The 26,114-nt window shown below is 53.8% G+C and overlaps 1 protein-coding gene and 1 long non-coding RNA gene across 9 annotated transcripts, besides 2 other annotated features; one reads left to right on the top strand and one right to left on the bottom strand.

The window, feature by feature from the left end:
* TINAGL1 (tubulointerstitial nephritis antigen like 1) lies at positions 5,543–16,714 on the bottom strand. Of its 7 annotated transcripts, NM_022164.3 has the most exons (12): positions 16,634–16,714; positions 15,771–16,095; positions 13,962–14,025; positions 9,988–10,080; positions 9,654–9,768; positions 8,428–8,551; positions 8,193–8,343; positions 7,889–8,078; positions 7,744–7,789; positions 7,353–7,476; positions 6,474–6,519; positions 5,543–6,390 (listed from the first exon to the last, which is right to left on the bottom strand). In NM_022164.3, the coding sequence occupies exons 2-12, from the start codon at positions 16,078–16,080 to the stop codon at positions 6,250–6,252; spliced, it is 1,404 nt and encodes a 467-aa protein (NP_071447.1). In that variant the 5' UTR covers positions 16,081–16,095; positions 16,634–16,714; the 3' UTR covers positions 5,543–6,249. The 7 variants fall into 7 exon arrangements, with proteins under 7 accessions (NP_071447.1, XP_005271163.1, NP_001191343.1 ...); XM_005271106.4 differs by lacking the exon at positions 7,353–7,476; NM_001204414.2 differs by lacking the exon at positions 9,988–10,080.
* Positions 15,332–25,291, top strand: LOC105378626 (uncharacterized). 2 transcript variants are annotated; one of them, NR_188671.1, is made up of 6 exons: positions 15,332–15,385; positions 17,559–17,819; positions 20,926–21,194; positions 21,487–22,948; positions 24,604–24,762; positions 24,960–25,291. It is a non-coding gene; the product is annotated as an uncharacterized LOC105378626 (long non-coding RNA). The 2 variants fall into 2 exon arrangements; NR_188670.1 differs by having other exon boundaries at positions 23,962–24,762.
* Positions 16,183–16,903: an enhancer, noted in NCBI's record as "H3K27ac-H3K4me1 hESC enhancer chr1:32041927-32042647 (GRCh37/hg19 assembly coordinates)". NCBI's record gives its function as "activates a minimal SCP1, AML or CMV promoter by ChIP-STARR-seq in primed H9 embryonic stem cells {active_cell/tissue: H9 hESC(primed)}" and the evidence as "EXISTENCE:reporter gene assay evidence [ECO:0000049][PMID:30033119]".
* Positions 23,970–24,471: an enhancer, noted in NCBI's record as "H3K4me1 hESC enhancer chr1:32034359-32034860 (GRCh37/hg19 assembly coordinates)". NCBI's record gives its function as "activates a minimal SCP1, AML or CMV promoter by ChIP-STARR-seq in primed H9 embryonic stem cells {active_cell/tissue: H9 hESC(primed)}" and the evidence as "EXISTENCE:reporter gene assay evidence [ECO:0000049][PMID:30033119]".
* Positions 25,292–26,114: the final 823 nt, after the last annotated feature.

Here is a 26,114-nt window from a genome sequence, read left to right as displayed (position 1 = left end):
CTCAACCCCCACCCCCCAGCCTCAGTCTCCTCCCTGTAAAAAGGAGGTAATAGCAGCCCTTACCTACAGTGCGTATCTTCAGCATGGCTTTCCTGGGACCCATCTCTCTGATGTGTCCACTGGCATATTCGGTTTACCATCTCATCCCATCCCATGGTGGGAGCCAGGCTGCAGCCCCCTGGAGCAGGAAGCAGGATGCTTCCCTAGAAGTCCTCTTCAGACTCAGCCTTGTTTTACTTTGGAAAGATACTGGCTCGGGTGTTGGTGTCAGAGCCCCCGGATTTTCATAAAGTGGGGTCTGCATCTAGCTCCAGCGCTTACCAGCAGTGTGACTTGACAAGTCACATCCCCTCCCTGAGCCTCCATCTCCTTATCTGTCAAATGGAGGTTAAGAGTTGTTCCTAGCTGTTGTGGACCCATTTCTGTCATTTTGATGCAGGGGAGGCAGGCCCCAAAGTAGGGTTTAGCCCACTGAGTTCTTGGCTTTGGCCAGGAAAGAATTCAAGGGCAAGCCAAAGGTAGAAGAAAATGGCTTTATTGAAGAGGAGTGTCACAGCTCCGTGACTGCTCCTGCAGAGTAGCGCTACCCCGTAGGCCAAAAGTAGCAGCTCAGGGCAGCTTTGCAGTCACAATTATACCCACTTTAAATTGCACAAAGATTAAGGGGCAGTTTATGCAGAAATTTCTAGGGAAGGGGTAGTAATCATTGAGGCCCCAATCCCTGGAATTAAGTCTGTCCTCCTACCTTAATCTGTTTGGCATTCCTCCTTTCCCCTGGATCCTCCTTCTTTGAGGATCTCCTCTCCTAAACACTGGTTTGGCAAGGACTGTCATGATTTCCATGACCTTGTCCCTCAGCCACAGGTGACTGTCCCACAGGTGGACACCTGACTGGAGTGTGGCCAATCAAAAGACTTCTCTATTTTGAATCAGTACTGAGAACATGGCTGTGGATTGGGAGGCTCAGGAGTTGTCATTGGCCACAAATCCTTCCTCATGGCAGAGTTAGACAGAAAGGCAGAGAAAAGAGAGGCAGAGTGAGACAGAGACAGAGAGGGTGTGTCCTGGCAGTTTTTGGGTCCCTGGTTCCAGCTGTGCCTGGACCCACTTGCCCTCCTCACAATTTGGAGGTTTACCCCTCTCGTAGAGTCTGAGAGTTGTCTCACTTGTTGACATTGGGTTTCTAGGCATACACTTCCTCCTAGGAACGAGGGTAGGATCGAAGGAGCTAAAGTGAGTGAAGCACATAGTCCAAAGCGTGGCTCACTGCAGGCTCGGTAGGCATGAATTCCTTTCCCTTAATGGGCACCAGGCAGGGATGGGGGTTTGGCAAGATCCCAAGAAGATGTGAGGCATCAGCACTTGTGAAGTCATGTAACTTAGCAGCCCCTGGGAGATTAGAGTTAGGTGCCTCGGGACCCCCGCAGAGCCCCACAGGGGGCCAGAATGAATGCCCAAGTGAAATATTTGGTGGTCAGGAAAGGATGGAGCTGAAAAAGAAAAAGTCGCTGCCCCATCCGCCTGTAGGAGGAGAAGTTGTTGACAGATACTCCCTCTGTGCCAGGTGTGTATGGAGGAGTCCCCGGAGATCCAGAGGATGGGTGCCAGGAAAGGCTTTCCAGAGGGGGGACATTTGAGCTGGGTTTTGAAGGATGAATAAGAGCTTGCCAGACAGGGAAAGGGCTTGGGGAAGGACATTGGAATATCACTATTAATCTTAATACAGAGCTGATGAGTGTGAGGATTTAGGTGACTTGGGTTTGAATCCTGATGCAATTATTAAATGTACGACATTCAGCAACTTACTTGCTTTTCTCTATGCTTCTGGAAATAGTTTTTTGTTTTGTTTTGTTTTTTGGGTTTGGGGGGGCTTAAATGAGACAATGTATGTAAAGCATTCAGAACAACATGCTGGCAGAAACCTATGGTTAAGCACTCAATGAATGTTTAGCTCATTATAAAAAGCCTTTACATTATCAGGTCCAATCTCTTAAAACAATCATCGCTGTTGCTGTTACCATTTATTAAGCCCTTAATGAGTTCCAAGTACTGAGCTAAAGGCTTAGCATGTTTTGTCTCATTGAATCCTCCCACCAACCCCAGGAGGTAGGTGAGTACTACTGTCCCCCATTTAAGTTGGAAAAACCTGTCCAATAATACACACAGCCGGACAGAGTAGGGGTTCAAACCCAGCTCTGTCTAACATCCCACACCCTTGGCCCTGGGAAAGGGAAGGACTGGCCCCATGACACACAGCAAGGGGCTGTGGGACCAGGGTTTCTTTAGGGGCAGATTCAGGGGCAGTAATCGGGTTTGGGGTGCTTGAGGTAAGCCTCGCTCTTTATAACAACACTCCCATGCCCAACATCGGAGGAGCAGGAGTGGCTGGTGGAGGTGGCTGAGGCCCCGGCTAGGGCATCTCCAGCCCTATCTGAACCCTCGTCCACTGCAGAACTGGCCCAGGTGGGCCTGGGCTTGCTGGCCCCAGGAACAAGGCTAAGGAGGGGCCAGGCTGACCCCCTACTGTCAGAGACCTCTGAACCACAGCAACTCCATCTTGAATAGGAGCTGGGTAAAATAAGGCTGAGACCTACTGGGCTGCATTCTCAGACAGTTAGGCATTCTAAGTCACAGGATGAGATAGGAGGTCGGCAAAAGATAGAAGTCATAAAGATCTTGCTGATAAAACAGGCTGTGGAAAGAAGCCGGTCAACAGGTGCGGTGGCTCATGCCTGTAATCCCAGCACTTTGGGAGGCCGAGGCGGGCGGATCACGAGGTCAGGAGATTGAGACTATCCTGGCTAACACAGTGAAACCCCATCTCTACTAAAAATAAAAAAAAATTAGCCTGGTGTGGTGGCGGGCATGGTGGCGGGCGCCTGTAGTCCCAGATACTCGGGAGGCTGAGGCAGGAGAATGGCATGAACCCGGGAGGCAGAGCTTGCAGTGAGCTGAGATCGCACCACTGCACTCCAGCCTGGGCAATATAGCAAGACTCCATCTCAAAAAAGAAAAAAAAAAGAACCCGGCCAAAACCCACCAAAACCAAGATGGCACGAGAGTGACCTCTGGTCGTCCTCACTGCTGCACTCCCACCAGTGCCATGACAGTTTACAAATGTCATGGCAATGTCAGTAAGTGACCCTAAAAGGGGAGGCATGAGTAATCCACCCCTTGTTTAGCAGATAATCAAGAAAGAACCATAAATATGGGACACCAGCTGCCCTTGGGGCTGCTCTACGGAGTAGCCATTCTTTTCTTCTTCTTTTTTTTTTTTTTTTTGAGATGGAGTCTCGCTATGTTGCCCAGGCTCAAGTGCAGTGGCACCATCTCAGCTCACTGCAACCTCCGCCTCCCGGGTTCAAGCGATTCTCCTGCCTCAGCCTCCTGAGTAGCTGGGATTACAGGCCCACACCACCACGCCCGGCTAATTTTTATATTTTCAGTAGAGACGGGGTTTCACCACATTGGTTAGGCTGGTCTGGATCTCCTGACCTCGTGATCTGCCCACCTCAGCCTCCCAAAGTGCTGGGATTACAGGCGTGAGCCACCGCGCCTGTTGGCCGGCTTCTTTCCACATCCTGTTTTATCAGCAAGATCTTTATGACTTGTATCTTTTGCCGACCTCCTATCTCACCCTGTGACTTAGAATGGCTAGCTGTCTGAGAATGCGGCCCAGTAGATCTCAGTCTTATTTTACCCGGCCCCTATTCAAGATGGAGTTGCTGTGGTTCAGAGGTCTCTGACACTGGGGGGTCAGCCTGGCCCCTCCTGACCGCGGGAACCGCCCGCCTTGGCCTCCCAAAGTGCTTGGATTACGGGCGTGAACCACCGCGCCCTGCCGGAGTGGCCATTCTTTTATGCCTTTACTTTCCTAATAAACTTGCTTTCACTTTACTGCAGAGATTCACCTCTAATTTTTTCTTGCACGAGATCCAAGAACCCTCTCTTGGGGTCTGGATCTGGACCCCTTTCTGGCATCAACACGGGTCCGCAGCGCCAGGGCGGGCGGAGCTGGAGCCGGAGCCTTAGCCTCAGCCTTGAGACCCGGCGGGCCGCGCCCGACCGTCCCCGCCCCCCAGAGCTTCCTTGGAAGGTACCCGTAGAAAATTCCAGCCTCGCGGGGCCACCGAGCTGCCTCCGAACCGGGTTTTACCGGCGGGGCGGGTCCCGGGGCCACTGAGCGGGTGCGAAGGGGCCGCCGCCCCTTCGGGGCTCCCCGCCGGCCTTGGCTCCCTGGGGACCGGCGGGCGGGCCGCTGGAGCCGGGCTCTGGACGTCCTGGCAAACAGGAAGCGAGACAAAGGCGGCCACTTATCCGGCGCCCGCATTCCTTTCAGGTGATGCCCGTGAGGCCCGGGGGACGCGGCGATCCTGAGGGGCTGCCAGGGGCCCCCGGGGACCTCCCTGCCGCAGTCCCTCGGCGACTGAGGGTGCCCCTGCCTCCCCACTGGCTGGAGGTGGCGGCGGGGAGGATTCCTTGCGCTCGGGGATCCCCCTCCCAGGCACAGGCCCTTGGGCTCCCAGAAAGGAAGGAGCACCAGCCTGGCGTCTGTGCCCGGGGGGACGCAGTGGAGGCTTGGGAGGGGCCTGGAGGTGAAAGAATGGGCCATATCCACTCAGTCATTCCATACATTGGAGGGCCACCCTATACCAGGGTTTCGGTGTGGGTACCAGGACCCACTAATGAAACAGACCATCCCTGCCCTCTAGGAACTTCCAGCATAATGCGGAAGTTCAATAGATCCCAGATACCTGAAATATTGGGTGAAGGGCAGAGTGCAGATGATTTGAGGGAGGGTCTAACCCACGCCGGATGGGGATGGGGTGGCCTGGGCTCCTTGCACAGCCTCTGGCACTTCAGTGACCTTCACAGGCACTGTCTGGAAGAAGGAACCTTGGAGCGGGACAAGGGGTGGGTGGCATGGAAGGGCATCTGGCCCGGAGAGCAGCGTGAGCGAATGTCTGGCAGTCTGCATGTGTACCGGGCATTTGAGAGGCAGCAAGGAGCTGGTGACGAGGTTGGGCGGGTGGGTTCTGATGGCCTTGGAGCCAGGCTGAGGCCTGGCTTATTGTGCTGGCACTGGGAATCTGAGGAGGTGGGGTGGGAAGCAGGCTCAGCTTGGCCCAAGAGCAGGCCGAGGAGAGGCCCCCCTTGCCTGGATGGCTTGGAGAGACTGATCTACAGAGACAGAGGCTCCAGCTTCTGAGGGCTGTGCCCCCCTTGCCTGCTGGGCACTGGCACCGGTTCAGCTGATAGGAGTGCAGGGCTCCCCCTTCAGGCGGCAGCTGACTCAGCGTCTGAAAGGTGGTTCCCACGGTTCAGGTTTCTCTCTAGGGCCAAAGGCCATGCCATCCATGCCCCTCCCCCAAGTGGGTCAGTGCCCAGGGCATTGACAATTAGGGCTGAATGGAAGTTAGGATTTCCAGTCCCCCCACCCCTGCCAACCAGCAACACCTCAGGCAGTCCTTTCTGCTGTCTAACCACTGCCAGCCCAACTTTGGCTTGGCTTTCCACTCCCAGAGGTTCCAAGACACTGTAGTTATCAATACTTTGGTTTTATTTTAAAACAGTGAAAAGAAAAATAAATATCTGAAGAATAAGAATACAGGGCTGGGTGCAGTGGCTCATGCCTGCAATCCCAGCACTTTGGGAGGCGGAGGCAGGTGGACCGCTTGAGCCCAGGAGTTCGAGACCAGCCTGGGCAACACAGTGAGACCCCCCTCTTTACAAAAAATACAAAAATTAGCCAGGTGTGGTGGTGCACCTGTAGTCCCAGCTACTTGAGAGGCTGAGGTGGGAGGGTCACTTGAACCCAGGAGTCGGAGGTTACAGTGAGCCCTGATGGGCCACTGCACTCCAACCTGGGCAACGGAGCAAGACCCTGTCTAAAAAAAAAAAAAAAAGAATACAGGAGTGGGGTGGGGTAGTGGGGCTGGAGACTTGAGGTGTCCTGGCTTTGGTAGTCTTGAGTGGGGGCGCCAGAGGCCTGGGATCTGCAGCTGTGCTCTTCCCAGGCCAGGCCCTGCCCCGTCCCCACTGGGAGGTCTGGGGGCTCCGCCAGTCTCGCCTGCCCGCGGCTCCCAGGCGGGGCGCTGCGTCAGCGGAACCCGCGCCGGGATTAGCGCCCTGGCGCCCGCCTGCGCCCCGGGCTCTGTCGGGCGAGGCTGGGGTCACCGCCCCATTGGGGCCTCTTCCGCCGGCCCTTAGCCTGGATCCCAGGCCGGACCCCGCGTGGTGCCCGCAGCCTCAGTGATGACCCATGTCCTCCATGCCCACGCGGCCCCAGACGCCCAGCACGAAGCTCTCGATGTCGCACTCATTGACGCCGCGCACGATGCGGAAGTGGCCCCTCTCGCCCCAGGCTGGGCCCCAGGAGTTGGCCGCAGTCTGGGAATAAGGAGGGGTGGTGAGAAGGGGAATGGGAGTGGGGCGAGGGGAAGAGGGGGCGGGGAAAGGGTCAGCGGCCTCACCCAGTATTTGAGCGTCCTTCCATCTGGCAGCGTCTCCTCTCCCCATCTGTGGGCAGAGCAGAGGAGGGGGAAGGGAGCTGGGTCTACCTGCTCTCAGGAGCTCCAATCCCGGAAACCTGCCCCATCCAGCCCCCAGTTGCCTTTGGAGGGTTGGGTACACCCTTAGGGCTCAGGCAGGTCTCTGTACCTCTCTGCATCTCCCTCACTCTCACATCTGTAAGTCGGTGCACCCAGGCCCAGCATGGGAGGGGGTGGGGCACCAAGGGGACAAGTGGAGGCAAGGTGAGCAGAAGAGGAGGGAACCTGGGTCCTCCAGAGACCCACCTCCTAGGGGCCAGTTCTATGGGACCACACATCCACCTGCCCTCCCTCACTTGGGGATCCAGGGAGGGGTAGGTGCCAAGGGCCAGAAGGAAGACACTCTGAGAATATGGGTATCTTAGAGACCGCCAATTCCCACCGTAAAGCACATTTCACCGAGTTCATTGAAGTCAGTGATCCTAACATCTATATTCCCTAAATCGGATAGGGAAACTGAGGCCAGGGGAGCGACCTCCCAGGTCACTCGGTGGGTCAGGCAGAGCTGGGACAGGTGCTGAGGTGGGGAGAGGTTGAGAAACTCTTGAGGCTCTCTTCATATTGGAGTTATTTTATCCCAATGTAAGGAAGGAACAGTTCCTAAAAAAGCCTTCAGAGGCTCCCAACCTTCAATTCGACCCAGGGCAAGTCCTTTCTCTTTCTGAGTCTCAGTTTTCTCCCTATTGAAATGATGAGAGCAGTCCTGGCTTTTTAGAGAGGTTGTAAGAACCCAAGGCAGGCTCCAGAGCCCCTAGCACAAACCCTGCTGTCCCAAACCCCCTCTGCCCACACGCCCCTCACCCTGTGATCTTGACTGAGTGGGTCCCATGCCGGCGGTATCTCTCTGGCCTCCCAAGGCTCACTGGCGTGTGGCTGTAGATGCCTCCCTTGTATAGGAAGAAGTCCTCATGCACCTCCATGAGGGCTGTGGGCAGATGTCAAGGTAGGGTCCACTCAGCCCGTTGGCACAGGCACTGGAGCCTGAGTCTATTGAGATGTGCCCAGGCACCAGGGTCCCTCCATACCAAAGCTCTAAGTGCTCCCTCCAGGTGCTGCCTGTGGGAGGGGGGGACCCCTACTCCTGGCCCTACTGGACATGCTGCTGAATGCTGTGCAGGCCACTTGTGCTACTGTGCCCACTCTCAAGCAGGCACAAGCTTCTGGAACCAGGGTGCTGGATAAGGGGGTTTACCTTGGACAGGGCCATTCTCCATCAGCTCCTTCATGATCTCCTTGTCCTGGAGGGCAGGGGATGGACAGAGAGCATACGTCAGGGGTGAGACTCCAGGCTTTCACAACCCTCCTGCCTCGGCGCCCTCACCCAAGTGCTGACTTACGTTGGAGCCGAGGCGGTAGACAGGAGTGACCTGGTAGATGTCATTGTTATTAACATAGCTGTTGGGGCAGTGGGCAGTGGCCTGGCGCTTGCCCCGACCCATGGCTCGGCTGTGCATCATACAGGGGGGCGCAGGGCCAGCCTCGTCTCGTTCACGGCCCGAGAAGGGGTAGCAGTGGTCAGACACCACCCTGCAAAGGCAGCAAGAGGGAGCAAAGGCAGAAAGACTCAGTGCATCATGGCCCAGGCCATGCCCACGGAGCTCCTTGCCCTCTTCTCTGCCCACATCCCCTGTTGCTGCATACCCTCGGCGACGCAGGAACCACCAGGCACCATCGAGACGCCCACCGCGGCAGCCCTGCTGCTGGTGGGTGTCACAAGACAGCAGGTTCTGGGGCGACAGGACAGGCGTCATGTGTCCCAGAGAATGGATTGAGACACGATCGGATGCCACAGCTGGTGGGGTGAGATAGAGGGGCTGTCGGGAGGCTCAGGACTTGGCCCTCCTCTCCCAGGCGCCAGCCCTTGCCCTTGGCTTACCTGCTGTGGAGAAGGCCCAGGAGCCTGCACAGTTGCCTTGGTCAAGAGGCTCATGAATCAGGTTGGGCCACTTCTCAGAGGCCTCGAAGGCTGTGGGAAGCACCTCCCCTGGGTTCAGCACTGTCTGCAAGATAAAGGTTGCCCTGTCTGCCTCCTGCTCTGCCCTGGCCTGCCCCTCAGGTGCCCATTGGCACTGGAGGGCCACCAAGTCCAGGGCCTTCTGCAGTTTAATCTTGAGCCCTCCTGCTGCTGCAGGATTCCAGCTGCCTCCAATTTTGACTTGTGTTGAAGAACCAAGCACCATTTAGTGCCTCCCAGGTATCAGGTGGTGGGGCGGGGCGGGGTGGCGGTGGTGACTAGTCCTGCTTCCCAGATGAGGCAGCTGAGGCCAGGCACAGAGAAGTGGCCAGGCCAGGTCCCTCAGCTTTCCATTCTCAACCCCTGCCTCTTTCCTCTGCACCTTCTGATCGGCCTTAGCTTTCTTCAGGCCTTAGCTTTCCCTCAGGGGAGGGAAGAGGCAGTAGGGTCCCGTGACCAGGCAGTCTGCCAACACAAACAGCAAGAGGCAGAAAATAGCCAGAGGCCCAGGGGAATAAGGGCAGGGCCAGGGTCTGGTCACCCAAGGCCGAAGTCTCCGCAGGGAGGGCCACTCCTGCCAGCCCCTGCCTCCCCGCTGCCTGCCACTGATGGACAAATGCTCCGGCACATGTCCCGGTCCAGGCCTGCTGAAGCTCCCCTTCCTCACCCTTTCACTTTGGGCCTGGTTTTCATTCCTCTCCCAGAGGGTCCCACTGGTGGGAAGGGAGAAGCCCTCTCCTCCCTTGGGGTTCCGCTGAACCGGCATTTATTTCCGAGAACTGCTGCCCTCTGGCCAGAACTGGAGGAGTGTGTGTCCTTCCCTTCCCAAAATACCAAGGTGACCCCCTGTCCCCTTGGGCCCTAACCCAGCTGTACTGAGACCAACAGCATTTTTCCCAGGCTGGAGAGATCAGGGGGGAGCTGATGCCAAGACCACGAAATTCAATCTGAGCATCAGTTCTTCCAGCACAGCACATCCTGTGGAAGCAGGGAACAGAGGCCCAGAGAAGGGGAGTAACTTGTCCAGGGACACACAGCCTTGTAGTAGGGGATGGTCCAGGCCCTTGGAGGAGCAGGGCACAGGGCCAGCATCCCTGAGGTTCTGAGCCATGGGGAGATGGCAGCATTGTGGGGAAGGATGGACTTACATAAATTTCATGCATGTTCATGACCGAGGAAGATGGGCGGATGGTGCCCAGGCGGTAGCGAATGCCCTCATCCAGGGTCATGCCCCAGAAGGCGCTGTGGTTCCCAGCCTGCCAGCTGAAGGAGAGGGGACGGAAGGAAGTCACAGATCTGCCGAGGCTCAGGGTCCTTGGCGTGGGTGCATGTGGGTGGGAGAGACGCACAGTGGCTGAGCGCACACACAGTCAAATCTGGGTGTAGGAGTGGCCTGCTGGACGTGCCCCACAGCACAGCATGCGTGTATACATGCATGAGTATGCATGTGTGCCCACTGAGGGTGCCTCTAGGGCCTCTCACCCATAGTTGCCCTGGTTGATGGCTTTGATCATGTCTGGATCCACCAGGCATGGTTCTTGGTCACACTGCCACTGCCTGTTCTCCTGGCAGGTGCTGGTGAGAAAAGGAGAGAAGGAAAGGGTAAGTGGGGGACTGGGGATACTTTGAAGGAATGTGGCCTCGGAGGTTAACATGGGCCAGGGAGTCTGTGCAAGTGACTGTGGGAGAATCTCTAGGTGATCCCATCCAGCCTGGTGGCTTTAAATGTCAACGTCTAGTTCATGATTCTCAAGTTTATATCTGTGGCCCAGATCTCTGCCTGAACACCAGAGTCAAGGATCTCACGGCTACTCAACATCACTACCCTGAACCAAAACACTCCCTGAACCGAATTCCTGACCCCCCTCACTTATTCCCCCTACAGTTCTCAGAAAACGGCAACTCTATCCTTCCTGGAGTTTGGGCCCCAAACCTGGCAGTCCCCGCTGACTTCCTTTCCCATGCTGATCCAGTTCATCCGCATATCCTATGGGTCTACCTTAAAAATGCATCCAGAATCCGAACCACTCTCATTCTCTCCTGCAGCCCGCCCAAGTCCGATCACCTCTCACCTGGATTCCTGCTGTGGCCTCCTCACTGTGGGTGCTCCATGCATCTGCCCCTTGCCCTGCTTCCCAGGGTATTTTTAACACAGCTGCCAGAGTGACCCTGCTAAACCTAAGTCATATCATGTCGTTCCTCTGCCCAAAACCCTCCACTGGCTTCACATCACAGAATAAGAGCCAAAGTTTGGTGACAACAAGGCCCTGCACGCTCTGTCCTCCTGTCCCCTGATCCCCTCCTCCTTCAAGTTCTGGTTCTAAGGCTCCAACTAGGCTGGCCCCTGATGGTTCACACCAATCTGCCTGCTCCCCTTCCTCCCCGCTTTTTTTTTTGAGACAGGGTCTTGCTCTGTTGCCCAGGCTGGAATGCAGTGGTGTGATCTCGGCTCACTGCAGTCTCTGCTTCCCAGGCTCAAGTGGCCCTCCCACCTCAGCCTCCTAAATAGCTGAGACTACAAGTGCACCACCACACCCAGCTAAATTTTGCAATTTTTGTAGAGATGGGGTTTTGCTATGTTGCCCAGGCTGGTCTCAAATTCCTGGCCTCAAGTGATCCACCCGCCTTGGCCTTCCAAAGTGCTGAGATTTACAGGTGTGAGCCACAGGCCCGGCCTGTTTATATTGCTTATCCCTGTTTCCTCATAGGCTGTAAATTCCTTGAGGGCAGGTATTGTTTGGTATTTTCAGCGCCTAGGAAAACAAAGCCTAGCACATAGTAAGCACCCAATGAATATTTGTTAACTGAGTCAATGACTGAGGCCATATGCTGAATTGACTAAGAGCATGGGTTCTGGAATTCAGATTCTGGGTTTCAGCCCACTGGCTGTGTGATCTTAGGAGAATCATTCAAGCTCTGTCTCTCTCAATGCCCTTGTCTATAAAATGAGGATAATACAGTGGTACCACTTTCCAGGGATTTAATGATAGGCTTGTAAAGCATTTAGCACTGGGCCTGGTCCATCATTAAGTGCTCAGAATTAATATCTACTATCACCATTCTGTTACAGGAATCCCAGACCCCACTTCTCTAGAGCTTCAGACTCATATCCCACTGACCTTCTGACATCTCTGGATGTGCAAAAGGCATCTCAAACTCAAAATAGCCCGTCTGCCTCCCACAAGCCTGCTCTTTCCTAACATCTTCAACTCTGAAAATGGCACCCAGTTGTTCACATCAGAGCTCCAGGTGGTCTGTGGTGTCCGCCCACATGTCCCCCATCAGCAGGGCTTGGAGATGGCACATGAGGAATCCACCTACCTCTCGCCCCTCCACTGTGGCCACCCTACTCCCGTCCCTCATCACCTCTCACCTGGACCCCGGCACTGCCTTATTCACCAAGTCTGCTACCCCTTAAAATTCCCGGCCATCCCCTCCCTACCCACCCCAAAGCCAGAGAGATCTTTGAAGAACGTAAATCAGACCGTGTGCTCTCTACGTGGCTTCCTGTGACTCCAAACAAAATGCAGAATCCTGGGCACAGCTGATGTGAGCCACGGAACGTGGCCTGCACCTCCTTGGGACGTCTCTCCCCTACCCCAGCTCCAGCTAAAATGAGCTCAGTCACCTCCCGGCCTTCCCACGAGCCACTCCCTCTGCCTAGGCCAGGCCTCTCCTATCCTTCTCCCTGGTCTCAGCATAAATGTCCCTTCCTCAGAGTAGCTTTCCCACCCACTCCCTACTCTAAACTGGGACCCCCGTTATCCTCTCTTTTCCCTATAACACTGGGCAGCTTGTCAGAATATACTCATTTGTTGTCTTCCCATGCCCTTCACCTTACACTAGAAATGGGACAAGGACTGTGTCTGTTGCATTCCCGCTCCATCTCCTGAGCTCAGCATAGTGCCTGTCACGCAGTAGGTCTTTAATAATAGGTGCCGACTGAAGGGCTGCATTCTATGAATTCTATAATGCTTTTACAAGCTCATAACTCTGTTATTACAAGATGCTGAACTGCCTCCTTGCAAGCTGTCCAAGGCTCCCACCTCCAATGTTGCCTTTTAAGGAGCCTCAAGGGGAGCCAAGACCCAGTATGGCTGGGCTTTCCAGCCCCAGGAGAGGCGGGGGCACTGCTGGGGAGGGCCAGAGGAGTCTGCAGGGCCGGGAAGGCTTTCCTCATCCTTCCTTTCCCTCTCTGCACACCAGGCTGTTCCCCCTCTGCACACCTAGGCAGCAGCACCCGACTAGACTCTGGAAGCATCCTTTGAGGGCTCTGACACCCTGGACACTCCCCCACCCTCGCCCCCAGAGCCTTCATGAGGAGAGGGCAGTAGACTGTTCTGTCCTTTCCTGCCATCTCCTCCTTTGCCCCCAGGGCTGCCCACACAGGTCCAGGCAGGGCCGGTGGTAGCAGGTCCCAGCATTCCAGAGGGGGCCTAAGGGGCCAGGGACAGCAGTGAGAGAGAGAGAGACAGAGAGAGAGAGACAGAGAGAGACAGAGAGAGAGAGACAGAGAGAGAGAGAGAGAGAGAGAGAGAGAGAGAGAGAGAGAGAGAGAGAGCGCATTAACCCCTCAACGTCCAGAGCCATCCTATCAGAACCTGCAGACGCGGGCCAGGCATGTTTTATCCTTTTGAACACACACACACACACACACACAGTGCACACACAGTCACGCTGAACACCCAGACACATGCTGAAACGTTCCCTCCCTCACTGTGACCCGGGCACCCCTCACCCTAGTGAGGCAATGGAAATATCTTATGCGCAATGCATTCCAAAAAGTTTCCTTCTCTCTGGGGCCTCTTAGTCCCAGGCAAAGAGGGAGTGGGGGTGGAGTGGGTGCAGGGCCGCCTCCTCCAAGTCGCAGGCTCCCCATTATTTCTATTAAGGCTTTCAGGGTTTCCTACCTGGCCCTTCTCCACTTCCCATCTCAGACTGAATAGGGGGGTACCCATGACCCCTTCCTCCTCCTACTGGGAATGGTGGGGAGGGGTGGGGAAGGAAAAAGGGGCCACATTTCAGGGAAGGCCCTGCTAGAGGCTGGCTGGCCGCCCGCTCAGCCATCCCTGACCCTCATCCGCTCAGGGCAGCGGATGCTGCAGTCAGAGCTTTCCTTCCTGGCGCCCCCTTCTCCCTCTGACTCTGCAGTGACAGCAGGAATAGCTGGGAGGAATAGCCCAGCCCAAGCCAGGAGGGGTGGGGAAGGATCTCAGTTCAAGGGTGACCCCTGGGCCAGGCACCCATGGCTGGCCATGCTTGAGGAATGTTGTTGGAATGATGTTAGATAAGTTGACTTGGTCAGTGTTAAAATTCCTCTATTGCAGATGAGGAAACTGAGGTTCAAAGAAGGGAAAAGACTTCTCCCTTGCAAAAGGGGTCAGGGATAAGATTTGAACCAAGTCTGTCAGCCACAGGCTCACAAAGCAAGACCCCTCTAAGCTCCAAACACTCACCAACGGTTACAGTTGTCCCAGTACGTTCCCAAGACTGGATAGATACGACCTCCATGCATACATCCTGTTGGAAGGGAAGAGAAGAGAAGTGGAACCAGAACCAGAGAGGATGGGCTAATTGGCCAGGTCCTTGGAGGTCAGGTACCTTGAACCTTTCCAAGATTCTCTCTCTTTCTCTCTCTCTGTCTCACACACACACACACATACCAGCTCTCACTGAAATTAAACTATAACTGAAGACATCACACACACACACACACACACACACCAGCTGTCACTAAAATTAAACTATAACTGAAGGCATCACACACACACACACACACATACCAGCTCTCACTGAAATTGAAGCCAAACTATAACTGAAGATATCACACACACACACACACACACCAGCTCTCACTGAGATTAAGCTATAACTGAAGACATCACACACACACACACCAGCTCTCACTGAAATTAAACTATAACTGAAGACATCACACACACACACACCAGCTCTCACTGAAATTAAACTATAACTGAAGACATCACACACACACACACACACCAGCTCTCACTGAGATTAAGCTATAACTGAAGACATCACACACACACACACACACACACACACCAGCTCTCACTGAAATTAAACTATAACTGAAGACATCACACACACACACACCAGCTCTCACTGAAATTAAGCTATACTGAAGACAACACACACACACACACACACCAGCTCTCACTGAAATTAAGCTATAACTGAAGACATCACACACACACACACACATACCAGCTCTCACTGAAATTAAACTATAACTGAAGACATCACACACACACACACACACACACACCAGCTGTCACTAAAATTAAACTATAACTGAAGGCATCACACACACACACACACACATACCAGCTCTCACTGAAATTGAAGCCAAACTATAACTGAAGATATCACACACACACACACACACACCAGCTCTCACTGAAATTAAGCTATAACTGAAGACATCACACACACACACACACACACACACACACACACCAGCTCTCACTGAAATTAAACTATAACTGAAGACAAATCCTGCAGGGTCACACACCAACTGCTGTTTGGGAAGTTCTTCAATGATTCCAACCTGGATTCCTCTTACTTTACTTGGATGCCAGCCACAACATTCCTGGGATCCTTTTCCATTTAAATAAGTTAGGGCTTGGAGATGGGGAGTGGGAGGAGCATGGGGAAGCCAAGGCCCAGAGAAGGTAAGCAACCGTCCTAAGATAACACAGCACTCTTGAGATGACAGCTCAGGTATGCAGTCTGCCGGCCCAAGCCCCATGGAACTGTGGGAAGGAACGCAAGTGATTCTCCTATTGGACAGGGGCAAGTGCATGGAAAAGGATGATGGTGAGGCTGAAAGCAGGAAAAGATTTGACCCATCTCCCAGGTATGAGCAGCCATCTCGGGGCACAGGATCCTAGAATCCTCAGCAAAGGCAGAAAAATGGCTAAGATGACCCTCACCAACCCATATGTGCCTTATCAGCCCAAGAGTGAGTCAGCAGGTGCGGCCAGCACCTTCCGTGTCTGGAAAAGAGACAGGATTGGGAGAAAATGTGGGAGGTTGCCCTTTCCCTGGGCCAAATTAGAATTCTAACCAAGGAGCTTCTTCAGTCTTGCTGGAGAGTAAAGTTCCCAGAGGGGCAGGGAAGAGTCCCAGATTCTACAGAGCTTCCCCTGGAAATGTCAGTGCATCCATCAGCTTTGCTCTTGAGCCTTGCTGAGTCTGAGGTGGACAAAGTGACCCACCCTCCTGGCCATCTTAGTGCCCACCTTGGATCGGGGGAAAAGGGGGTGGCACGCCGAGGCAGAAGTCCCAGAAGTCAGGGCAGCAGTCGGAGACCGTGCGGTTGCAGAAGAGGTCACAGTAACAGATGGCGCCCAGGTAGGGCAGGGCACAGTCGTCGGCACGGCCGCGGCAGCACAGGTCCTGCTCCTGGCAGTACCGGCCTCCCGCGTCCCGGATGCCCCGCAGGTGCAGACCCGGTGCTAGCTCCCGGCGCCCACGACCCTGCTGGGCACCCAGAGCCAAGTGGCCAGCCAGCGGCAGCAACAGCAGTAGCCCCAGTGGACATCGCCACATGGTGGCTCCTGGGCCCTGGGGGGCAGAGATGGTGGGCAGCAGAGACTCCCTGGAACACCAGGGATGAGTCTCCCAGTTTCCTGGAGCTGTGAGTTCAAGAGGGCCCAGCAGGGAGGGAGATCCCGATTCCTGAGTCCCCAGGCAGGACACGGGCAGAGGAGCCCCAGTGTGTGGGCCCTGGCTATAGGGGGATGGGGACTGGGCAGAAACGGAGCCCCTCCCTGACCTAGGCAGGGACCTTCAAGGACAAGGAAATGAGGGTGGTGGCATTCTTGGTGCTCCCACCCAACACTCATCCTGTGGACCCAAGGTCTTCTCTCCTGTCCTAGGTCTCTCTGCCCTCCAGCAGCCTCCATCCCTGACCTGGGTCCTTGACTTTGTGCTTTCCTGTCTCCCCCGGTCTTTTGGGTACACCTCTCTTCTGTTCCTGTGTCCCTCTGTCCCCCTCCACTGTCCCTCTCTCTGCCATCTGTCTTGGTTCCTCTACCTGCCCCCTCCCCCTGTTTCTTCTCTGTCTACACCTTCCGCCCTCTGAGCAGGGGAGCGTCCCTACCTGGTGAAGGTGTGGGCTGGGGCCCAGGCTGGCCCGCGCGCCTCCGCCTCCTGGCTCTGCGACCGCCGGACGCTCAAAGTCAAGAGAGGAGCGCGGGGCGGGGCGCTTTTTGTACCGCCCGCCCTCTGCACCGCCCCAGCAGTGGCGGAAGGGAGGGGCGCCTGGCTTGTACCTGGAGTAACTACCCCACAACTCATGGGCTTGCAGGGTGGAGAAACGACAAGCACACGATTGTCCTGGCTGGGTCTCCTGTGGCGGAAGCCGTTCCCTTAGGGGAACCCCAAGCAGGAAGGATTGCGGTTTCACACTGGGAAGGACTTCACAGTGGGCATCCCTGTGGAGCTGAGGGGCTCTGGTGGAGAAGGGGGGATATGGGCAGCCGAGCTCTGGGTTATGGACACAAGTTTGGGAAATGATGGGGAGGGCATGTGAGGCAAAATTCTGTAAGCCTCTCCTGACCCCTCGGTAATAAAAATAGCCATGCACACCCCTCTCCACTGTGCCCCCTAGGCTTGGGTGCCGCCCCCCTAGCCACCCCAGCTCCTAGGAATGATTGGAATTCCAGGAGTATGATCCTTAGGTGCCCTGGGCGGCTCATCCCTGGGAGGTGGGCAGGGTGTGGGGGTGGCCTCTGCACCCTTTGATCCCTTGTTGAGTCTGCCTTCCCTTGCCTGCTTGGGCCCCTAGACGAGCACTGCCCTCTCTAGCAAACCCAAGGGCATCCTGCTTGGCACCTGTCCCCCTCCAAGGGTCCAAAGGCAAGGGCCCTACCAGCTGGCACCCCCTGCAGAGGCCCTCCTTCCTGCCGCAGGCATAAACCTTTCTTTGCCCAGGCTGGCCTGGGACCCAAACAATGGGGCTTCTGTCCCGCCAGGTCTGCCGTCACCTTTTACCTCCCTATTGTGCAACGCCCTCTCTTCAACAGGTTGGGCCCAGGCCAGAGGTCTCTACCAGCAAAGAGGATAAAAGAGACTACACCTGGACAAACCCTCCCAGGCCCAGGCCTGAGCCTCACATGTGGCCCCGGGGAAGGCATCAGGGACTCCCTTTGCCCTCCCACTGACCTCCCTGCAAACCTCCCCCAAACCAAGGGGCATCCTCAGCTGGCCAGACCCTGGGGGAAGGGAGAGAGCCGAGGATCACCGGCACCTGTGGCTGGGTTACCCCTGCCATGGACCACTGGGTGGTGAGTCACCAAGGGGGTCCTGCCCTGGTGGTGGGGGTGGAGGGATAATATCCGGGGGCCCCAGCACTGGCACTAACACACCCAGGAGCTGCCCATCTGCTCCCTGCAGGGACCTGGGAGGACAAAGCCTAGGTGGGAAACTGAGGCTCAGAAGAATGCACTTGCCTGAGGTCGTGCAGCCAGAACACAGGCTCCCTGCCTGCCACCAGCCCACTCCTTTACCCCTAGTCACCCTTAGTCACCCACTACAGGTCTCAACGTGCTCCTGGTTGGGAAGTCTCTTTTCTTATCTAAACTCCATTCATCTTACTGCAGGACGGGCCCCTCGGTATTGGTAAATGTCATATCCTCAGGGTAAGAGATGAAAGCTGCTTTCTTTCAAAAGAGTTCGTGTCCAGAGTTCCTACTTTTATGGTACCTACTTTTTCATGGTTCTGGGGCTGGGGGCTTGTTTAGAGACATCTGGCCTCTCTTTTGCCCAAAATCACACCGCATAGGCTACCCTCGTGAGTCTGGGTGTGTTATCTCTGTGTGCATGTATGCATGTGTATATCTGAGTTGCGGTGTTTGTGGGGGTGTTTCTGCTTCTGCTTGAGTCTGTCAGTCCACATCTGATCGTCTGGGTTTTTTTTGCTTTTTGTTTTTTGTTTTTTTTTGAGACAAGGTCTCACTTTGTCACCCAGGCTGGAGTACAGTGGCGCGATCTCGACTCACTGAAGCCTTGACCTCCTGGGCTCAAGTAATCCTCCCACCTCAGCTTCCTGAGTAACTGGGACTACAGGTGCACACCGCCATGCCTGCCTGAATTTTTTTTGTATTTGTAGTAGAGATGGGGTTTCACCATGTTGCCCAGGCTGGTCTCCAACTCCTGAGCTCAAGCAATCCGCCTGCCTTGGCCTTCCGAAGTGTGTTTACCTGTCTATCTGCTATGTGCCTGTGTATCTGTGAGTCTGGATATTTTGGCTATCTGCCTGTCCTTGTCTGACTGATTGTCTGCTTGTCTATCCATTTACCTGTCCATCTGCTACATACCTGTGCATCTGTGTGTGTGTATCTGTCTGGATGTTGTCTCTGTGTCCATTATGGATCTGTCTGTCTGCCAGCGTGTGTTGTTTGCCTGCATTTGTGCACTTGTTGGCTTGTATGTCTGTGTGTGTGTCCTGCCTGTGCCTCCCTGTCTAAGAGGTGTCTGTGTATCTGTGTGGGAGTTGTGGCCATCTGCCTGTCCTTGTCTGCCTGCCTGTCTGTGCATAAGAGGCAGGGACTCAGAGCAGGGGATGGGAGCAGAGCCAGAGCCTCCCACCATCACTCAGCTTGGCACAGAGCCCGCCCCAGTGGAATTTTGTGACTCACTGGGTTCCTTGGCCGAGGAGGAAAAGGGCAGGGCCGGGGGTGCTGGACACCCCCACTTTCCTTTTCCATGACCCTTTGACCCTTTGCCTCCTAGTGACTCCTAGTGACTCATTGACTTATTATTATTTTTTTTGATGGAGTCTCGCTCTGTCGCCCAGGCTGGAGTGCAGTGGCGTGATCTCAGCTCACTGCAAGCTCTGCCTCCTGGGTTCAAGCCATTCTCCTGCCTCAGCCTCCTGAGTAGCTGGGACTACAGGCACCCACAACCAGGCCCAGCTAATTTTTTGTATTTTTTTTTTAGTAGAGATGAGGTTTCACCATGTTAGCCAGGATGGTCTCGATCTCCTGACCTTGTGATCCGCCCGCCTCAGCCTCCCAAAGTGCTGGGATTACAGGCATGAGCCACCATGCCTGGCCGACTCAATGACTTATTCTTGAGCAAAGTGGGGCCTTATCCAAGGGCCTGGGACAGAGCAGCAGAGGAGGAGACACCAGCGAGACTTCCCCCTCTGAGCCCTTCCGGCTTTTCAAGAGGCAGGTAGCCTAGGTCCCTGTGGTGGTTTTGTCCTCCCTTACTCCGGACCCCCGGCAGCGCAGCCCCTCTCTGGGCGTTGGTACCAACCTGTACCCAGATGCTCCCTGGAGGCCCTCTGGTATTCTCTTACTTTTACAGAGGGAGGTGAAGCCAGAAAGGGACAGTGACAAGCCTAAGAACACACGGCAGAGCAGAGGGCTCTCCTCTCTATGGAGTCCCAGAGCTCCCCACACCCCACAAACTTCACAACTGCTCTAAATGCTCGGAATCAGCCATTCTCCTCTGTGAGCTGAGCAGGGCTTTCTGGGAAGACAAAGACCTGTTGTCTGCTCACCTCAGGTCCCTAGCCGAGGACCTGATACTTGAGGCCTGGGAGTTCAGATGCTCAGGGCCCAAACAGCACCCCATCCAAGGCTGGGGCTCCTTGTGGTTCCCTGTGGTCAGTGGGACATGTCCAGAGCTCAGGTCAGTGCTCCCTGGGACTGCATCTGAGACCCTGTCCAGGCCTAATACTGTAGCCGGTTGGGCCATGTTGTGATATGTTGGGGCTTCCCAGGGCTCATGGACTGTTTTGTAGAAAGTCCCACATCAAGGGCTGCATGACAGTCAGAGTGTGGTGCTGTCATAGCACGCTGGAGCTTGCAGCAGACAAAATTCCAGGCCATGTGGAAGTGTGTTGCGCCACGCAATGGCATGCTTTACTATTTGATTTTCTCATTCATTCAACAAATACTTGTTAAGCATTTACGATGTGCCAGGTTCTGTGCTAGGTGCTGAGTGTACATTGTTGAACCAAACAGATGGAGTTCCTGCTATTGTGGAGTTTGCAGTCTAATGGGAAGAGAGGCCAGGCATGGCGGCTCATGCCTGTAATCCCAGCAGTTTGGGAGCCTAAGGCAGGTGGATTGCTTCAGCTCAGGGGTTTGAGATCAGCCTGGGCAACATGGTGTAACCCTGTCTCTACCAAAAATTAAAAAAATTGCCTGGGTATGGTGGCATGTACCTATGGCCCCAGCTACTCAGGAGGCTGAGGTGGGAGGATTGCTTGAGCCCAGGAGGCAGAGGTGGCAGTGAGCTGAGATTGTGCCACTGCACTCCAGCCTGGGTGACAAAGTGAGATTCCATCTCAAATAATGATGATGATAATAATAATAATAATAACAACGGGAAGATAGACAAATACATAAGCAAACCATCCCCCCGCCCCCCCACCCACAGATCAAGAAGTCATTCCAAAATGTGAAGCGTTCTGAAGATATGCACATAGCGTAAGAACCTGGTGTAATGTGCTGGTCAAGGCGGTCTCAGAGAGGAGATGACGTTTGAGCTGACACCTGAGGGATGAGAAGAAAGCAGCCATTCCCAGGGCCCAGGGGAGGCATCCCAGGAAGCCGGATCAGCATGAGCAAAAGCCCTGAGGCCTGGCACAAGTTGGTCTGCTTGAGAAGCAGGAGAGAGCCCTGAGCATCCGGAGTGCAGCAAGCGAGGTGCACAGAGGAGCAGGAAGGGGCTGGGAGAAGGCTGGGGCCGGATCATGCAGGACAGGCTGGAGGAAGGGGCTTGAATTGTCTTCTGACCACTGAGGGGATATAAACATGAGGGCAAAATCATCTGATTTCCATGTGCAAAGGCCCACTCTGGCTGCTCTAGAGAGAACAGATGATTGCAGGGTAAAAGTGGATTTAGAGAGGTCAGATGGAGGCTGGGTACGTGCCGTGTATGGTAGATAGCATGCTACCAAATACACTCACAGGTAGCCCTATTATCTCCATTTCACAGATGAGCAAGTCAAGATGCAGAAGGACTCTCTGGCTTGTCCAAGGTCACACGGCTGTTAGGAGCAGAGCAGCGTCCTGGTGCCCAAGCCCTGAGGTCCCCAGCACACTGCCTCTGCAATGGCCACAACTGTCCAAAGACTAAGCTGACTCTCACACCTGGTAGTGTCTGTGGTCATTCACTGTGGATGGAAGTGGAGAAATGCAGAAAACAGAAACACAGCTTCCCCTTTTCTGTCATATTTCTGTATCGTTGGTGTTTGGAGCCAGTTGAGCACAAAGGGCCCCTGAGTGCTGTTTCCTTGTGATATTTGGGGGTTAACAGCTTCCCCTCATCTCTTAATTACCTGCCCTCCTTCACTTCAGCTGCACATTCGTTAAAGAATGCTCTCCCAGGAGAAGAGCTTGGTGTTATCACCCACAAACATCTTAGAAAACTAATGCTATCCTTGAGTGCCTGTTTACAGAAACATTTTTACATCTCACTTGACATTTCCAGCAAATCTTGATCCTTCCAGCCAGGAATATTAATATATAGGTCTTGAAAAGTGCAAGAGGCTCTTCCATGGCTCCAAGCACATTTGACACTCTTCCTTTTCTGATCCCCAAGCAGACAGTGATGAAACCCCAATAGCTGGGCGAATACTCATCCAACAGGAAGAATCAGTTTTAAGAGCTGGGTTCTCAGGGTCAAATACTGTGGTGTGGCCTTTTGGTTGTAATGAGTTGAATGGAGGTCTCAAAAAAGATATATCCATGTTCTAATCCCCAGAACTTGTGAATGTGACCTTATTTGGAAAAAGAGTCCTTTTGGATGTAATTAAGTTAAGGATTTTGAGATAAGGAGATCATCCTGGGTTATCTGGGTGGACCCTAAATCTGTTGACAATGTCCTTATGAGAGACCCCAGAGGGCACAGACAGGAAAGGAAGAGGCAATGTGGCCCCAGAGGCTGAGATCAGAGCTCTGTGGCCACAATTCGAGGAACACCTGGAGCCACCAGAAGCTGGAGGAGGCAAGGAACAGATTCTCCCTGATCCTCTGGATACAGAGGGAGAATAGCCTGGCCGACACCTTGATTTTGGACTTCTGGCCCCCAGAACTGAGAAAATTAACTTCTGTTGTGTTAAGCAGCCACGTTTGTAGCAGTTCATCATAGCAGCCCTGGGAAAGAAATACAGTGGGCTTCCAGTTCAAGGAGGATCCACGAGGCCTGAGCTCCATCTGTCGATTGGAATCACCAAAATCAAGGTTGTGTGCGGGTAACGCCAGCACAAGCAGCTCATGCTGGCAAAAGCAGACCAAACCGGCTCACGCAACGTCAAGTCATCTTGAAGTGGTTCACGCACCACAGTGAGTGGTATTGATTGTGGTTAAGAGCCAGGTTCAAGGAGGTTTATCACTCAGTAGCCAGGTAAAGCAGGTTCCAGGCCTGGCTCCACCACTCAACAACCGGGGAAACAGGGGTAAGCTTCTTAAATGCTCCGTGTCTCAGTTTCTCCATGTGTAAAATGAGGGCACTAATAACAGTCCCTACCTGCAAGGTGGTTGTGAAGATGATATGAATTCATATATGTAAGGCACTTGGAATTGACAATACTGACATACCACAAATACAAAATAAGTGTCTGCCATTATTAAGCTAACCCAAATCAAAACAGACACAGATGAATTCAGAATACTCAAGTAGACTCAGATATGTTCAAATGGAGCCCACCAGTTAAAACTAGCTGAGACCAGTGTAAACTGGCTCAAGCCTTTTGGGCCAAGCTGTACTAAAACCAGATTAAATCAGTCAAAACAGGATTAGAATAGTCAGTCTGGAATCTCTACACGCACGCCTGCACATTTGAGGGGTCTCTCTCCGCCCCCTCTGTACATCAGATTGAATAGTAACAAACAGTCCCACATCTCCCAAGAATGAGCATAATGGACAAGCAGAGGGCCGCCAATGTCCCCACCAGAACGAGCATAATGGACAGGCAGGGGGCCGCCGATGTCCCCACCTAAGACATGCAGACATTTCCCTGTCGGAAACGCGCTCAGATTCTTTACGGCAGGTCAAGGCTCAAATATCAGAAACCAATTTCACTCACACTAACTAAACAAGAGACGGGATCTGTGGTTCAGGATCCTGAGGCACTCGTGAAACTCATGGGTAGGAAGGTCAGCTGGAGCCAGTTAGTGTCTGGAAGGCTATCAGAGCTCAAGGCCCCTCTCTCTGGCCCATGGAGGGGAATTAACTCCCTCAAAGGCAGGAGCTCAGTGAGCAGGAGGCTGGTAGGGAGGTGGGAGCTGCAGGTGACCGGTTAGAAGTCAGAGGCTGTTGTGGGGGGCAGCTTGCACCAGTGGACACAAGAGCCCCAACTTGTGGGCACTTGGAAGTCCCAGGCTGTTCCCTGGCTCCACCCCGTCCTCTGGGGTGCCTGCTTCACAGAGCACCAATAATGCGTTTGTGTCACTCTATGTTTCCTGGCAGGAGCAGACCTGCAGAGGGGCCAGAAGACACCTGGCCGGGTGGGGAGCAGCCCCTCCGTAATAACAATCGGAACCTGGGAAGATAAGTAGAGTCCCAGGGGAGGGACAGAGTTTCCCCTGTGTCACCACATGGCTACTTTGACACAAATGCACGTGGGCAGAGAGAGGCATGCAGGTCAAGGGCCTGGCAGGGAGTCAGGGGCCCTCAGTGCCAGTCCTGGCTCTGCCTCTGCCTCTGACACGCCATGTGACCTTGAGCAAGTCACCACCCTGTCTGGGCTTCGCTAACCCATATACGGAATGAGAAGGTATCGTCCCTGGTCACTGCAGGTTTTAAATCATGTAGTGAGAGAGAGCTCATTTGGTCCAACTCTCTGCAACTGAAGGAATGGAGACACCAAGGGGGAGTAATCGGCCGCAGTGATGAGTGGGTGGCAAAGGGAGCTATCACTACCATTGATTATCCAGCTACTTGTGCTTGATAAACTCCCTCCTGGTGGAATGGGCTTTCCCACATCCAGCAGCACAAATGCTGTGAGCATCTACTACGGGCTGGGCACCTTCTCTGGGCTGGCACTTGACATGGGTTATCTCATTTAACTCCCTAACAACCCTATGTGGTATTATCATCCCCATTTCACAGGCGGCAAAACTGAATCCCAGAGAGAAGACTCACTCAGACACAGCTATCTGAACACTCTTTTCCAGTTCCCCTAGGGCAGCAGAGGAAGCAAGGTGGGGGGAAGCCAGTGGTCAAGGATTCCATGCGGAATGTACCCTAGAATTAACCCATGGAGAGAGGGTAAGGGAACGGGCTCAGGCCTGGGAAGAAGTGGGGAGGACAGTGTCCTGTTGACCTATTCAAAAACATCCAGTTTTAGTTAATTTTTAGTTCATTAGTCACCACTTTTTATTAGTATCTCATGTATTCTTTCACAGTTTCTTTCTGCAGGTACAAAAATAATGATTTTTTTTCTTTCTTTTTCTTCTTTGAGACAGGGTCTCGCTCTGTTGCCCAGGCTGTAGTACAATGGTGCAATCTCGGCTCACTGCAACCTCTGCCTCTGGGTTCAAGCGATCCTTTGCCTCCGCCTCCTGAGTAGCTGGAATTACAGGCATGCACCATGATGCTTGGTTAATTTTTGTATTTTTAGTAGAGTCAGGGTTTTGCTATGTTGGCCAGGCTGGGCTCCAACTTCTGGTCTCAAGTGATCCACCCGCCTCGGGCTCCCAAAGTGCCAGGATTACAGGCGTGAGCCACTATGCCTGGCCAAAAGTGGCGATGTGTTCTTAATGCCCATTTTCACATAAAAGGTAATAATCTACCCACACCATGCTGTACCTTGTTTGTTTTTTGTGTGTTTGTTTGTTTGTTTTTTGACAGAGTCTTGCTCTGTCAGCTAGGCTAGAGTGCAGTGGCACAATCTCAGCGCGCTGCAACCTCCGCCTCCCGGGTTCAAGCGATTATCCTGCCTCAGCCTGCTGGGTAGTTGGAATTACAGGAGCCTGCCACCATGCCCAGCTAATTTTTGTGCTTTTAATAGAGATGGGGTTTCACCATGTTGGCCAGGCTGGTCTCGAACTCCTGACCTCAAGTGATCCATCCACCTTGGCCTCCCGAAGTGCTGGGATTACAGGCGTGACCCACCGCGCCTGGCTCTTGTTTGTTTTTTTAACTAATCACACATCTTAGAGACCTTTATCAGTAATTAGAGAGCTTCCTGGATCTTTTATATCACTGCATAATAAATATTCTATTATATAGATTAGAATAATTCAAATTACCAGTTCCCTATTGGTGGACATTTGTTTCTGGTTTGTTTGTTTTTTCTATTTTTTTTCTTATCACAAACAGTGCTGCAATAAGTAATTGTGCATATGCACTGTTTCACATGTGTGCAGGTATACCTGCAGGATAAATTCCCAAAAATGAATTCCTGATTTAAGAGTATCTTTTTTTTTTTGAGACAGGGTCTTGATCTGTTGCCCAGGCTAAAGTGCAGTGGCATGATCACGATGCACTGCAGCCTCAGCCTCCTGGGCTCAAGCGATCTTCCCACCTCAGCTTCCCAAGTAGCTGGGACTACAGGCATGTGGCACCACGGCTGGTTAATATTCTCAGTGTAACAGAGTTTCATCACATTGCCCAGGCTG

The sequence above is a fragment of the Homo sapiens genome, chromosome 1 (assembly GCF_000001405.40).
Source record: "Homo sapiens chromosome 1, GRCh38.p14 Primary Assembly".
NCBI lineage: Eukaryota > Metazoa > Chordata > Mammalia > Primates > Hominidae > Homo > Homo sapiens.
Note: the sequence above shows the minus strand (reverse complement) of the source record. Positions and strands in the feature narration are given on the sequence as shown.

Excerpts from the sequence above, each read along its gene's own strand:
- TINAGL1 (NM_022164.3), bottom strand. The coding sequence starts at position 16,080 with ATGTGGCGATGTCCACTGGGGCTACTGCTGTTGCTGCCGCTGGCTGGC. Across the intron at positions 10,081-13,961 it reads TGGGACAACTGTAACCGTTG|CACCTGCCAGGAGAACAGGC; the intron begins GTGAGTGTTTGG and ends TTTTCTCACCAG. Across the intron at positions 8,552-9,653 it reads TGAACATGCATGAAATTTAT|ACAGTGCTGAACCCAGGGGA; the intron begins GTAAGTCCATCC and ends TTTATCTTGCAG.